General features: G+C 31.6%; 1 protein-coding gene across 9 annotated transcripts in view; it reads right to left on the reverse strand.

Moving 5' to 3' along the window:
- Positions 1 to 13059, reverse strand: part of COL11A1 (collagen type XI alpha 1 chain) — a 232050-nt gene that overhangs the window by 187002 nt on the left and 31989 nt on the right. For all 9 annotated transcript variants that reach the window (NR_134980.2, XR_007085257.1, NM_001190709.2 and 6 more), the window contains exon 4: positions 11144 to 11306. Coding sequence is in view for 7 of the 9 variants with exons in the window: in NM_001190709.2 (NP_001177638.1) it covers positions 11144 to 11306 (163 nt within the window). In the remaining 2 variants the exon portion in view is untranslated. The remainder of the gene's footprint in view (positions 1 to 11143; positions 11307 to 13059) is intronic.

A 13059-nucleotide genomic window follows, 5' to 3' on the forward strand; every position in this document is an offset into this window, starting at 1 on the left:
TCTTTTCAACTAATAGTGCTGGAACAACTGGACAGCCACATGCAAAAAAATATCTAAATACAAACCTTAAATTGTTCAGAAAAATTAAGTCATAATGGTTCATAAATGTAAAACACAAAACCATGAAACTCCTAGAAGACAATATAGGAGAAAACCTAAATAACCTTGGGTATGGTGATGACTCTTCAGACACAACACCAAAGATATATTCCATGAAAGAATTTATTGATAATCTAGGCTTTATTAAAATTTAAAACTTCTATTCTGAAAAGACAATATCAAGAGAATCAGAAAATACACCACACAGCAGGTGCATGTGTTTGCAAAAGACATACCTGATAAAGGACTGTTATCCAAAACATACAAAAAGTTCAATATTCAACAATAAAAAAGCTAACAATCTGACTTAAAAATGCACAAATATGTTGAACACCTCAACAAGGAAGATATACAGATGGAAAGTAAGCCTATGAAAATATGTTCAACATCATATGTCATTAGAGAATTGCAAATTAAAACAACAATGAGAAACCACAACATACCAAAAGAAAATAGGGCTGTTTTGGGGCAAATTCAAAACAGTGATGACAAAAACTCCTGGAAAAGCTGTGAAGCAAAACAAACTCTCGTTCCTTGCTGGCGGGAATCCAAAAGGGTTTATTTAGCAAGACAGTTTGGCAGTTTCTCATAAAACAAAGCATATTCATACAACAATCACACTTCTTGGTATTTATCCAAATGATTTGAAAATTTATGCCTACATGAAAACTGCACATAATTATCTAGTAGCTTTATTCATAGTTTCCAAAATTTAGAAGCAACCAAGATGTCTTTTAGTAGGTAAACTGATAAATATGTACCACATCCGGCTAGTAGAATGTTATTCAGCAGTAAGAAGAAATGAGCCTACCAGTCATGAAAATACATAGAAGAGGGCCAGGCGCGGTGGCTCATGCCTGTAATCCCAGCACTTTGGGGGCTGAGGCGGGTGGATCACGAGGTCAGGAGATCAAGACCATCGTGGCTAACACGGTGAAAACCTGTCTTCACTAAAAACACAAAAAAAATTAGCCAGGCGTGGTGGTGGGTGCCTGTAGTCCCAGCTATTTGGGAGGCTGAGGCAGGAGAATGGTGTGAACCCGGGAGGCGGAGCTTGCAGTGAGCCTAGGTTGCGCCACTGCACTCAGCCTGGGAGACAGAGCCAGACTCCATCTCAAAAAAAAAAGAAAAAAAAAAAAAAAGAGAATACATAGAAGAACCTTAAATGCATATTACTTGGCGAAAGGGGCTAAACTGAAAAGGCTGCATACTGTATGACTGCAACTAATACATCCTGGAAAAGTCAAAATTATAGAGGCAGTAAAAAAAAAAAAAATCGCAACTTCCAGGGGTTAATCAGGGAGAGAAGGATGAATAGGTAGAGAAAGGAAGATTAGGTAGAGAAAGAAAGATTTTTAGTGCAGTAAAATTATTCTTTTAGGTACTAATATGGTGAGTACATGTCATTACATATTTGTCTACACTCTTAGAATGTACAACACCAAGAGTGAACATGTAAACTATAGACTTTGGGTGATAATGATGAGTCAATGTAGTTTCATCTGTTGTAATAAATTCCTACTCTCATATGGGATATTGATAATAGGGAAGGTTATATGTTGGGGTGGGGCAAATAGTATATGGGAACTCCCCGTCCTTTCTGCTCAACTTTGGAACCTACACCTACTCTAAAATAAAGATTGTTTATTAACAACAACAGCAATTGGCCGGGCACGGTGGCTCACGCCTATAATCCCAGCACTTTGGGAGGCCGAGGCGGGAGGATCACGAGGTCAGGAGACCAAGACCATCCCGGCTAACACGGTGAAACCCCGTCTCTACTAAAAATACAAAAAATTAGCCGGGCGTGTTGGCAGGCGCCTGTAGTCCCAGCTACTCAGGAGGCTGAGGCAGGAGAATGGCATGAACCCGGGAGGCGGAGCTTGCAATGAGCCCAGATCGCGCCACTACACTCCAGCCTGGGCGACAGAAGAGCGAGACTCCGTCTCAAAAAAAAAAAAAAAAAAAAAAAAAGAAAGCAAACAAACAAACAAACAAACAAAAAAAATAGCAACAAAGGCAATAAACAGATGCCAACCCTGAGATAGGGTGGACATTGAAACTCTCAGGAAGAGTTTTTAAAACAGCTATTATAACTCTCCTCCAAGAAGCAAGTGATACACTATTGAAAAGAATGAAAATATAAGAATATTTAGCAGCAAAGTAGAAACTTTAAAGAGTGAAGGCTTCCTAAATTTGTTGAAAAATATTCATTTACAGATGTAAGATGCTTAATAAACCCGAAACAGAATAAATTAAAACAAAATTATGACAATCTACTGAAGTCAATCTACTGAAAAGCAAACACGGAGAAAAAAAAAATCTTAATAGCAGCTAAAGTGGTACATCAAGTACATGATAACAACAATGTGAATGTGAGTTGTGCATCAGAAAACACAGGGACCAGAGACAAAACATTTTTACAGTCCTAAAATAATAAAACTGTCAACCCAGAATTCTATGGTCAGTGAAAATATCCTTCTGTAATGAAGGCAAAAGAACAACATTCTCACATATAAGAAAACTAAGAGATACATCAGTAGCATATCTGTTGTATAAGAAATGTTAAAGAAAACTTTTTAGACTGATGGAAAAGTGTATCCTAGAAAAATATGGAGCTTCAGAAATAAAAGATAAACAGAAATAACAAATATTTACTTAGATATAAAATTATATTTTTATCTTAAAAGCTTTAAAATATACGATTATTTAAAGCAAAAATAACATTTGGTGGTATGTTCAATATATACAGGTCTAATAAGTATGACAACTGTACCACAAAGATCAGTATGACAAGGAGATTGAAATGTTTCTGCATTACATACATACAATGATACAATATTAGCAAGAAATATATCATAACATTTTGGTACAAATTTTACAATTATTATAAAAAGTATTTCTTAAATAAAAAAATAGCAAAAATCCAATAAGTAAAACAAAATGGAATACTACAAAATATTCAAATAAACCCTCAGCACCAAAAAAAAAAAAAAAGACTGGAGGCAGGAAAGGAAGAACAAAGAATCAGAAAACAGAGAGTACAAAGAAAATACAAATAATAAGATGCAGACTTAAATCCAGCCACATCAATAACAAATCAATGACATTTAGCATAACATTTAATGTAAATTATGTTATTAGTTTCATGACACCAATTAAAAGGCAGAAATTTATAGAGGGGATAAAAAAAGGCCCCCCAGTAACCTGACTCTAACAGGCACACTTTAACTATGCAGACACATAATTTGAAAATAAATGGACATAAAAATATATATAGCATTCAAATTGTAGGTTAACAAGAAAAGGAGTGGCCATTCTAATATCACATAAAGTAGACGTCAAGGCAAAAAATACTAGTGGAGATAGAGAGCTATTTCACAGTAAAAAGTGACAAGCAGAAAGATCTAACAATGATAAATGTGCACATGCCTGAGAATGCAATACATGCCGCAAAAAATGGCAAAATGAAAAGGAAGATACCCAATTACACAATTATGGTAGAAAATTTTAACACTCCTCAACAACTGATAGAACAAGTAGACAAAAAAATAAGAAATATAAGGAAAGATCTAAGTGACATTTATAAAAGTCTGCATCGAACAATTTCACAATGCACTTTCTTTTTAAGGGCATTATTACATTAACTGAGATAGACTACATGTTAGACCATATATCAAACCTCAATAAATCTAAATGGATTGAGATCATACCAAATTTATTCTCAGAAGACAACAGAATTAGACACCAATACCAATAAGCTCTCTAAGAAAAGCTCAAGTATCTAGATATTAAACATCACTGTATAATTAGTGGGCTGGAAATAAAATAAAAAAAGAAATTGAAAATTATTTTAACTAAATAACCATCAAAAATGACATAGTAAAATTGTGTTACGCAGCTAAAACTGTGTTTAGAGAGAAATGTGTAATTTTAAATTTTTATACTGGGAAAAAAGCAAATCTCGAAGTAATAACCCTATACTTTGAGAGGCTAGAGAAACAATTTTTCTTTTTCAAATCTATGATAGGAAAAAATAATTATGAAATAGAAAAGAGTCTGTTAAGAGTGACAATTAACAGAGCCTGAAACTGGTTTGTTGAGAATATCAACAAAAGTTTCAAGTACCTGTTCAAATTATTGATCTGGGGGGAAAATACAAATTATTAATATAAAGAATAAAAAGTAGTTTTCAGTAGAAATTTTAAAGATATTAAAATTTAAAATAATGAAATGCTACAAACAGCTTTATATGAACAAATCCAACAACTTAGTTGAACTAGAAAAATTTCTTGAAAAATAAAACTTAACATGATCAACACAAGAAGAAACAGAAAAACCGAATTAACCTGTATCGAGTAAAGAAATTGAATATGTTAAAACAATTCTAAAAAGAAAACTCAGGGCCCTGAAATTTTCACTGGTTAATTCTATCCAGTATTCAAGAAGGAAATAACATCAGTAATATAAGAAAGTTTTCAGAAAATAGATAAGGAGAGATCACTGCACAGATGAGTTTATGAAGCCAGTATAACCCTATCAAAACCTGACAAAGACATTATAAATACAGAGATTCATAGACTAGTATTCCTCATTAATATAGACTAAAACTTTTTAAAGATATTTTACAAAATGGAATTATATGTTACATTAATAAGATAACATACTGCATGACTACAGTGGAATCTATACACCTTTAAGGAATGCAAAGTTATTTCTAAATATTTGAAAAATCAATCAATGTAATTCAACATACTAACAGGAAAAAAAACCCGCATGATCATTTCAATAGGTGTAGAAAAAGCGTTTTATAAAATTTAGTACATGTTCTTGATAACAAATATTTAGGAAACTAAGACAAACAGTAAATTTCAAACTGATAAACAGAATCCAATGAAAACTTTCAGCCAACATCATACTTAATGCTGAAAGACTGAATTATTTTCCACATGAGGTCAGAAAAAAAAGTAAGAATACCTGCTTACACAAGATATATTCAATATATATAAAAGTTATATTCGATGTATATCCCATTCATTGCCGTAAGAAAAATAAGTAAAAAGCATAAAGATAGAAAACTTGCAAAATGGTCCCTACTTTCAGATTATATAACTTTTTACACTAAAAAAAAACCCTGAACTAATAAATGAATTTAACAAGGCTATAGGATACAAGGTTAATATAAAAAATCGTGTTTTCTATATTAGGAAGAAAATATTCAAATATGACATTAGAAACAAATTCATTTACTCTAGCACTAAAAAAAAATACTTAGGAAAAAATTAAATAAAAGATGTCCAAGACATTTACCCTGAAAACTAGAAAACATTGTAAAAAAAAATTAAACAAGACCAAAATAAATGGAGTTATATTATGTACAGGAAATAGAAAACTCCATGATTTTTAAAAATTTCAATTGTCTTCATTATGATCTGTAGGTTAAATGAAATCCCCATTAAAACCACAACTTCTTGTAGAAGTTAATAAGCTTATTCTAACATGTGTGTAGAAATGAAAATGACCCAAAATTGCTACAACAATGTTTTACAAAGAATAAAAAGTAGGAGTATTTACCCACATGATTTTAAAATGTTTTCTAAAACTACAGTAATCAAGATATTATGGTAGTAGTAAAAAAAATGAATAAATAATAAGGTAGAGAGTTCAGTAATAGGTGCACTAATTGGTAGTCAATTAATTTCTGATTTAAAGACCAAGGCAATATAAATCATGAAAAGAAAGTCGTTTCAGAAAAATGTGCTGAATGAACTGGATATGATTATGTAGAAAACAGTGAACATTGACCTTTACCTTACATCATACACAAATATTAACTCAAAATGGGTCATGACCCATGTGCAAATCCTGAAACAACAACGTTCTGATACTAAAAATAGAAGAAAATCTTTGTGATCTTGGAGTAAAAGTTTCTTAGAACACAAAGAGTGTCAAACATAACAACAAAATTGATAAATTAAACTTTATCAAAATTAAAAGCATTTACACTTGGAAAGACACCAATAAGAAAACAAAAAAAAGGCAAGTCACATACTGGAAAAAATATTTGCAAACATATATCAGACAAAAAATCTTTATGCAGGATAAAGTTTTATATACTCTTAAAACTCCTTAAACTAAAACAAACAGCTCAATTTTTTAAATGGGCAAAAAATTTGAAAAGACACCTCACAAAACAATATGCATAAATGGCCCACAAGAACCTGGCAAAATGCAGACATCATCAGTCAAGGGAGAAGCGTAAATTAAAACCACAATGTAACACTACAATGCGTCTAGTTAGAATGCCTAAAATGAAAAAGACTGAGCATATCAGAGGTTGGCAAGGAGACATAATGACTGGAACTCTCATACACTGCTGAAGGGAGTATAAAATGGTTAATGCCACTTTGAAAAATAGTTTGATAATTTTCTTTTTTTTTAATGTTAATCATGAACCTACCAAATAACCCATGCATTCCACATCTAGGTATTCAACCAAACAAACCAAAATGTAGACATGAATGTTTATAGTGGCTTTATAGATGCCATAACCTGGAAGTAACACAAATGCCCACTAATAGGGTGAATGGATGAAAAAATTTTGGTGTAGCTATGTGTTAAAATCCTACTCAGCAAAATAATAATAATAATAATAATAATAATAATATTAAATACAATAAACATGGGTAATTCTTAAGATCATTATACTAAGTAAGAACTGAATTGTATGTAATATAAATAAGACAACATACTACATCACCAGTACAGTCTATAGACCTCTAAAGATTGAAAAGTTGTTTTTAAATATTTGAAAAACCAATCAACATAATTCGACATACTATTAATAACAAGGGAAAAAAAACGAGTTAAAACGAGTTAAGTTAAAATGAGTGCACCCAGTATAATTCCATTTGTAAAAGTCCCAGAAAAGCTACAGTGATAAAAAGCTACTTCATGATTGTCTGGGGTTAGGATGGAAGAAGGAATGAATTAAAAAAGATGATAAGGAATCTCTTGGGTGAGATGGCAATGTTTATTTTCTTGATTATGATGATGGTTTCACAGCTGTATACATAAGTCACAACTGATCAAATGGTATACTTTTAATATTTGCAGTTTATTGTGATTCAATTGTAACTCAATAAATTTAGAAAAAAAATCACAAGGACCAAGAACTAAATGCATCTAGACTGGGTAAAGTGGATAAATGGAAAGGTTATCTCCATCTTATAACATTGTTCTATAGGAAAACCATGTCTACTAAAATTCAACTTTTAAGTGTGTATATTGGATAATATATGCATTAAAAAGATATATGGACACCATAAAGCAATAATCAAGCTCTTAATGGCTTTTGAGATGGCTTTAGTATTGGCCATCTCAAACGCCATCTCAAAAAAGTTTGCTAATCTTACTTTTTTCAGGCCTTGTACAGTTATCAAATAGCATAGTTGTTATAAATTATTATTCATTGATTTCTCCACAGAAAATTGAATTCAAAATATTTTCTGAGGAGTTTAAAAAAATGCAAAATGTCCATCACAAAGCTTTTCTACTCAAATAGCCATCATATGTCATATTCTACTCATTGCTTCCACGAAATAAATAATCTCCCCAAAGATGGCTATTTGTTAAAAAATATGAAAGACCTGCAATAATCTGTTTTGATTATTTTAAAAAATTAGGAAACAGAAATAATGATGTTTTGAAAACTTGAGCAATGGCTATAACTTGCTATTTAATAAGGAAATTTTCCTGTTTAAAAGACTCCAAAAATAATTGTATTGACAATAAATACAAGCAATACAACTTTTCTAATTTAATTTTCCTCACATCTTTGAATCTTATTTAGCAGGAAAAAAAAATCAAGGCTGTTGATTTGTGTTGGTAGGACTTTTTTTTTTTTTTTTTTTTTTTTTTTGCCTGCATGGAAATATTCATTCAATCAGACCACACTCCATTTATTAAGGTCTGTACTCAGGTGTTACCTCTGTCTAGAGGGGACAAATGTATCTAATCTCTACAAGGTAATTTGTAAAATTGCAGTAGGCCAGAAAAGAAGTACTTCATTTAGAACACAGACAGACGGACCCATGAGGACTTTTAGCAGACAGACAGAGGGACCCACGAGGACTTCTGACTGACAGATGGGTCACTGTTAGTTGCCCATATCAAAAGTTGAAATGTCATGGTTGTAAAATCATAAGAAAAAGAAGTAATAATAATGTTTGTAAAACTACACATTAATGGATAATTAAGTTAACATACAACCACATTTATATTACATATGTGTTTGTATATATATATATATATATATATTTATACTAGTATCTTAAAGACTGTACATACATCAGCTCATTTTTTTTCTATAAATCCTTATGAGGAAGATTCTGTTATATTTCCCATTTGAAACTGATATAGAGTAATTATATAGAGAAGGTTGAATATTAAGCTATATGCTGGGATTCAAAATCGGATTTTTGTCATCCCCAAATCAATTCATATACTCACTCTGCTATGCTGAAATTATAAAATCTGAATTATGAGTCTATATGCTCTTCTTGTGGTGAGCATATGATGAGCATAATATGTAAACTATAATTGTTCCAACTTTAAAATCATCTTCAGTTTTGCATTTAGCTGTATAAAGTTGAATTCTAAAAAGTCATTAGATTGAAATTCAAATATGACCATGTTTAATATTTTTACCATAGTAGTACCATTCTATTAATGTAGGGCAGTGTATACATGAAATTACATATACCAAACAAATCTGCAACTAAATCTGACTTATGCTATGCCTGAAAAAGTGACATTTCTAGTTTTCAGACTAATGAATCACTGGTATTATCATATTATCTTCATCATCACAACTATTTATAAAACACTAACATAATATATAGACAGTACAATTTCTATCTCCTGTCATTTTCAGTTTAAATTCTATGTGTTTACTTGCAAAGATTCATAAGTATATAGGTATTATAATATAAACCAAAAATAAAAGGAAAAACATACTCGAATAAGTTTTTAAGAAAAGAGATATTAACATCAGGTAGAATGAACTAATTTTACAAAATGGTGGAAATTTCTAAATTTGGACTAAACATCCATATATTTGAATTACTTATTTTCTTCATGCACTATTTTCAAGTGGAAAGAGACCAAATTGTTTTTGAAATTTCATATATACATACAATAATATAATTTAGAAAGTAAGACCTGAATCTTATATCTGATGGCTGTTTGAGTATATGAATTAGATAAATACTAAATTTCATCCAATTCAAAGATTCCTACTCTACAGACTTCTAAATATTTTATTAAGTAAAAATTGTTTCCCCTTTAACTGGTCAAAGATTGTAAAAGATAAACTGAGAGAGTAAGTTCTTTATTCATTAACATTTTAAAAACTAACTACACTTAATAGTAAATAAATGTTTTATTTAAAACTTCATAGGGTTTCATGAAACTCTAGGATGCGAAGTAGCTTAATAAACTTATTTTTCACTACTCACTGTCATATTCACTAAGGGTTTCATTAAAGAATCCTTTCAACATTACTTTTCTTAATGTTTTAATAGCTTCTCCAACTAAAGAGCTGAAGTTACTCCAGGATTCAGAATGTGGGATATAGTTTTACAAAGTTAAGCATCAATTTTTAAAAAAGGAAAGAAATTCCACTGATACTGTGCTTTTGTCTTACACATTTATGTTCCTGGAAAATAAGGTGTGGGTTACAAAAATAAATTATAATTTATTCATAATTCACATGCAACTTATGTTTATGAATAGTTTTATTTTTAAAATAATGCTTTTCAAGATTAGAAATTATATTAATATTTATTTGCCTAATGAATAAATAATTGTTTATCATAATGTGCATGCAATCAGTGTTGGATATTGGGATATCTGAGAGTATATTACCATTATAAACTACCTGAATCAGTTTATTATTTACATAATCTAGCATGATATGATAGTTTAAAATATTTTATGTAGAATTAAAGGCTTTGGTACACACTAGTGGATAAAAGTCAGAAACGATAGCATCTCAAATAAATAATATGGAACTTTCACAAATGTTTATTATAATAATAATTTTAAATAAAACTACACTGTAGGATATATTTATAAGTACAGGAATGAAATAGTCTAGCTGATGCTCTGAATGAACATTGTTCTGTTTATGAAAATACATACTGTCTGTATGTTTGTATATATATATGTGTGTGTACACATCTGTGTATGTATAGTCACACATCAAAAAATATAGCAAATCTCCAGGTGAAACTGTCTATTAATTTGTAATATATTACACAGCTTTACTTTGTTACACCTTGACAAAGAAACGACTCAAATTGTTTAAAAACAATCACAGAAATAATAAATAATGTCTCGAGAGTGCATCCTTTAATGGTGTCAGAATTCAGGTCATTTGTTCTTTTAAAAAGTGACTAAATGAAAGTTAAAGCATAAGTTGTCATATCCAATGATTGGAGGACTAAAAGAATGTGATTATCATAATTAGTGAAATATAATTTGATGGAAATATCTTACCATGATCTTTACATATTTTTTAAAGTGATTTAAACACTTAAAATTTATATTTTGCAATATGATCTCTATTTTACCTTAAAAAACATTCACAAAGAACAGAGGAAGGCAAAATATATGACTTGCGCATCTCTCTAAATTAACCTCCCATAGAATGAAATGAAGAAAATGTTCTTTTCTGCAAAGAAAATAATACAAACTACTAAGAGTTAAGCCGTTTGTCCTTCCCAGGAGAATAGCATGTCTGTGTTCAAATCAACCAATCCCTGTAAATGTTTCCCAGGCGTTACGGTCACCATTGTCTGGTCATTCTCTTACTGAACAATAGAAAACATCACCACTATACTCACAGAGGAAGAAACTAGGTCACCCTTTAGAGTTTTCAACTTTGCTTTATAACGTATTGCTATAAAGCGATATTTTTACTGTTGTTAACCCAGTTCATCTGATTTGTCAATATTCAGCTTAGAGTTGGATTTATTTTTACCTCAAAAACTTCTTCATCCAAAATCCTTGTTCCAAAAACCGTGATTCCATTGGTATCAACAATTGCTCTCTCACTTCTATCAAGTGGTTTCGTGGTTTTCTTCTTACAATCAACAATCATTGTCACAGTTTTCTTCTCCACGCTGATTGCTACCCGATGCCACCTAAAAAAGACAAGTAATTCTTTTGTAAGCTTCAAAGAAACAGTGGTTGCCAAAGCAGTATTCACATAAAAATGCTGTGTATTTTAAATTATAAAAATGAGCTAAAATCATACAAAAAATGTAGGCTCATTTATTAAGCAGCCAGTTAACAGATGACTACTTACTCGTTACCCAACAGTACTAGGTACCCAAAAGGACACAAGCAGCATAAAATGCACAGTAGAATTAGCTGTCTGTGCTGATAAGGAAGTGCCCATCCTTTGCTTCACTTTGTGTTGTAGTAACAAAAGCTTAATCTCACTGTGTCCTGATGAAGGTATTTGATAGAGATTAGGGTGGGATATGGGGTAAGTAATAGTTTCCAAGTACATAAATGCTTTCTTCCAAAGTGGAATTCCATTTAAAAAAACTCCGCTCTAGTGATCCCCTGAGATTGACTGTAACAGGGTATGTCTACTAATTGAATGAGCGCTCCATCTAGAGCAAGTCAACGTCCTAATTGTAAAACACAATGTGCTTCTCTGTCTTTATTCACATTTATTTCAAGTGCTTTCATTATTTTTCCACTTTAATTTCAAGACAGTTATAGATCACTACTGTAGGCAGGATCCAAGACTGAGACACAATATCTTTCCTTCTTTCCAGGGTTGGCAGATGTGGAAAACTGAAAGAAAACATAGTCAACGCATGTGTGGAATGAGACTCTCAATTCACTCTGCAGCTACTGCTCCAGCTAATTTAGAGCAGTGATGACAGGCTTGGCTGGGGAGACATGGCCAGCCCTTTGGAAATGCACATTCCCTAACCATACTGTAAAATGGTGGGTTTTATTAACAATGTATAGTGCTAACATAAACCATTAAATGAAGCCCACTCAATTCTGCAAGCCAGTCTGGTTTATATTTTATTTTTTTTCCAAATGAAAAGTGCTAGATTAATATTCCAGAAGTGTCTAGGACTAGATCCATAAAATAAAATACCCAAAAAGTTGCAGGAGCCCTCGTAAAATGTCTGTTTCATGTGACTTGGCATGGTGACCAAGTGTATTTCCATATACACTTAATCTTTGGTCTTTCCACTAGAACATTCAACTGGCATAGGTGTCTGCTTGGTTTGAATTGAGCAAAGATTTATATAAGGAGCTACTTAATATAGTGAGAGTAAAATTTACACATACTTCATGCCAAGAAATCTGGGTCTTCACTTAAGCCATTCCCAGTATTATAGGTATGTGCTTTTCATTAACAGAAAATAAAAACAATTTCAATAATTAAAACTGATTAGAACTCTAAACTTGATATTTTTGTTTAATTAATGTAGGCTATGATAATGATATGTCATAATCATGGTGTCATATATAATATTCAAAATACCAAATTAACATTTAGCCTTAGAGGCATTCTTAATTATTCTCTTTTTCTCATACTACACACTCCTATAGTCAGAAAATTCTATCAGTTCATATATTCAAAAGTATAAACAGAATCCAATATCTCTCAATTTAGTACAAGCTGCCATCTCTCACAGCTAGACTCCTAACTGGCCTCTGCTTCTACTCTTATGCATCCAGAGCCACCTTTTAAAAATCTAAGTCAGATCAAGGATCTGCATTCTTAAAACTATCAAATACAATACTCACAGTAAAAGCTGAAGCCATTATTCTGCTTCACAGGAGGGTCCCCTATCCTTCTATGACCTCATGAGCTCAGACGCCCCCTGGACTCCTGGCATCCCAGCCACAAGGCTGCCTCTT

Source organism: Homo sapiens, chromosome 1, assembly GCF_000001405.40.
Source record: "Homo sapiens chromosome 1, GRCh38.p14 Primary Assembly".
In the NCBI taxonomy this organism is placed as follows: Eukaryota; Metazoa; Chordata; class Mammalia; order Primates; family Hominidae; genus Homo; species Homo sapiens.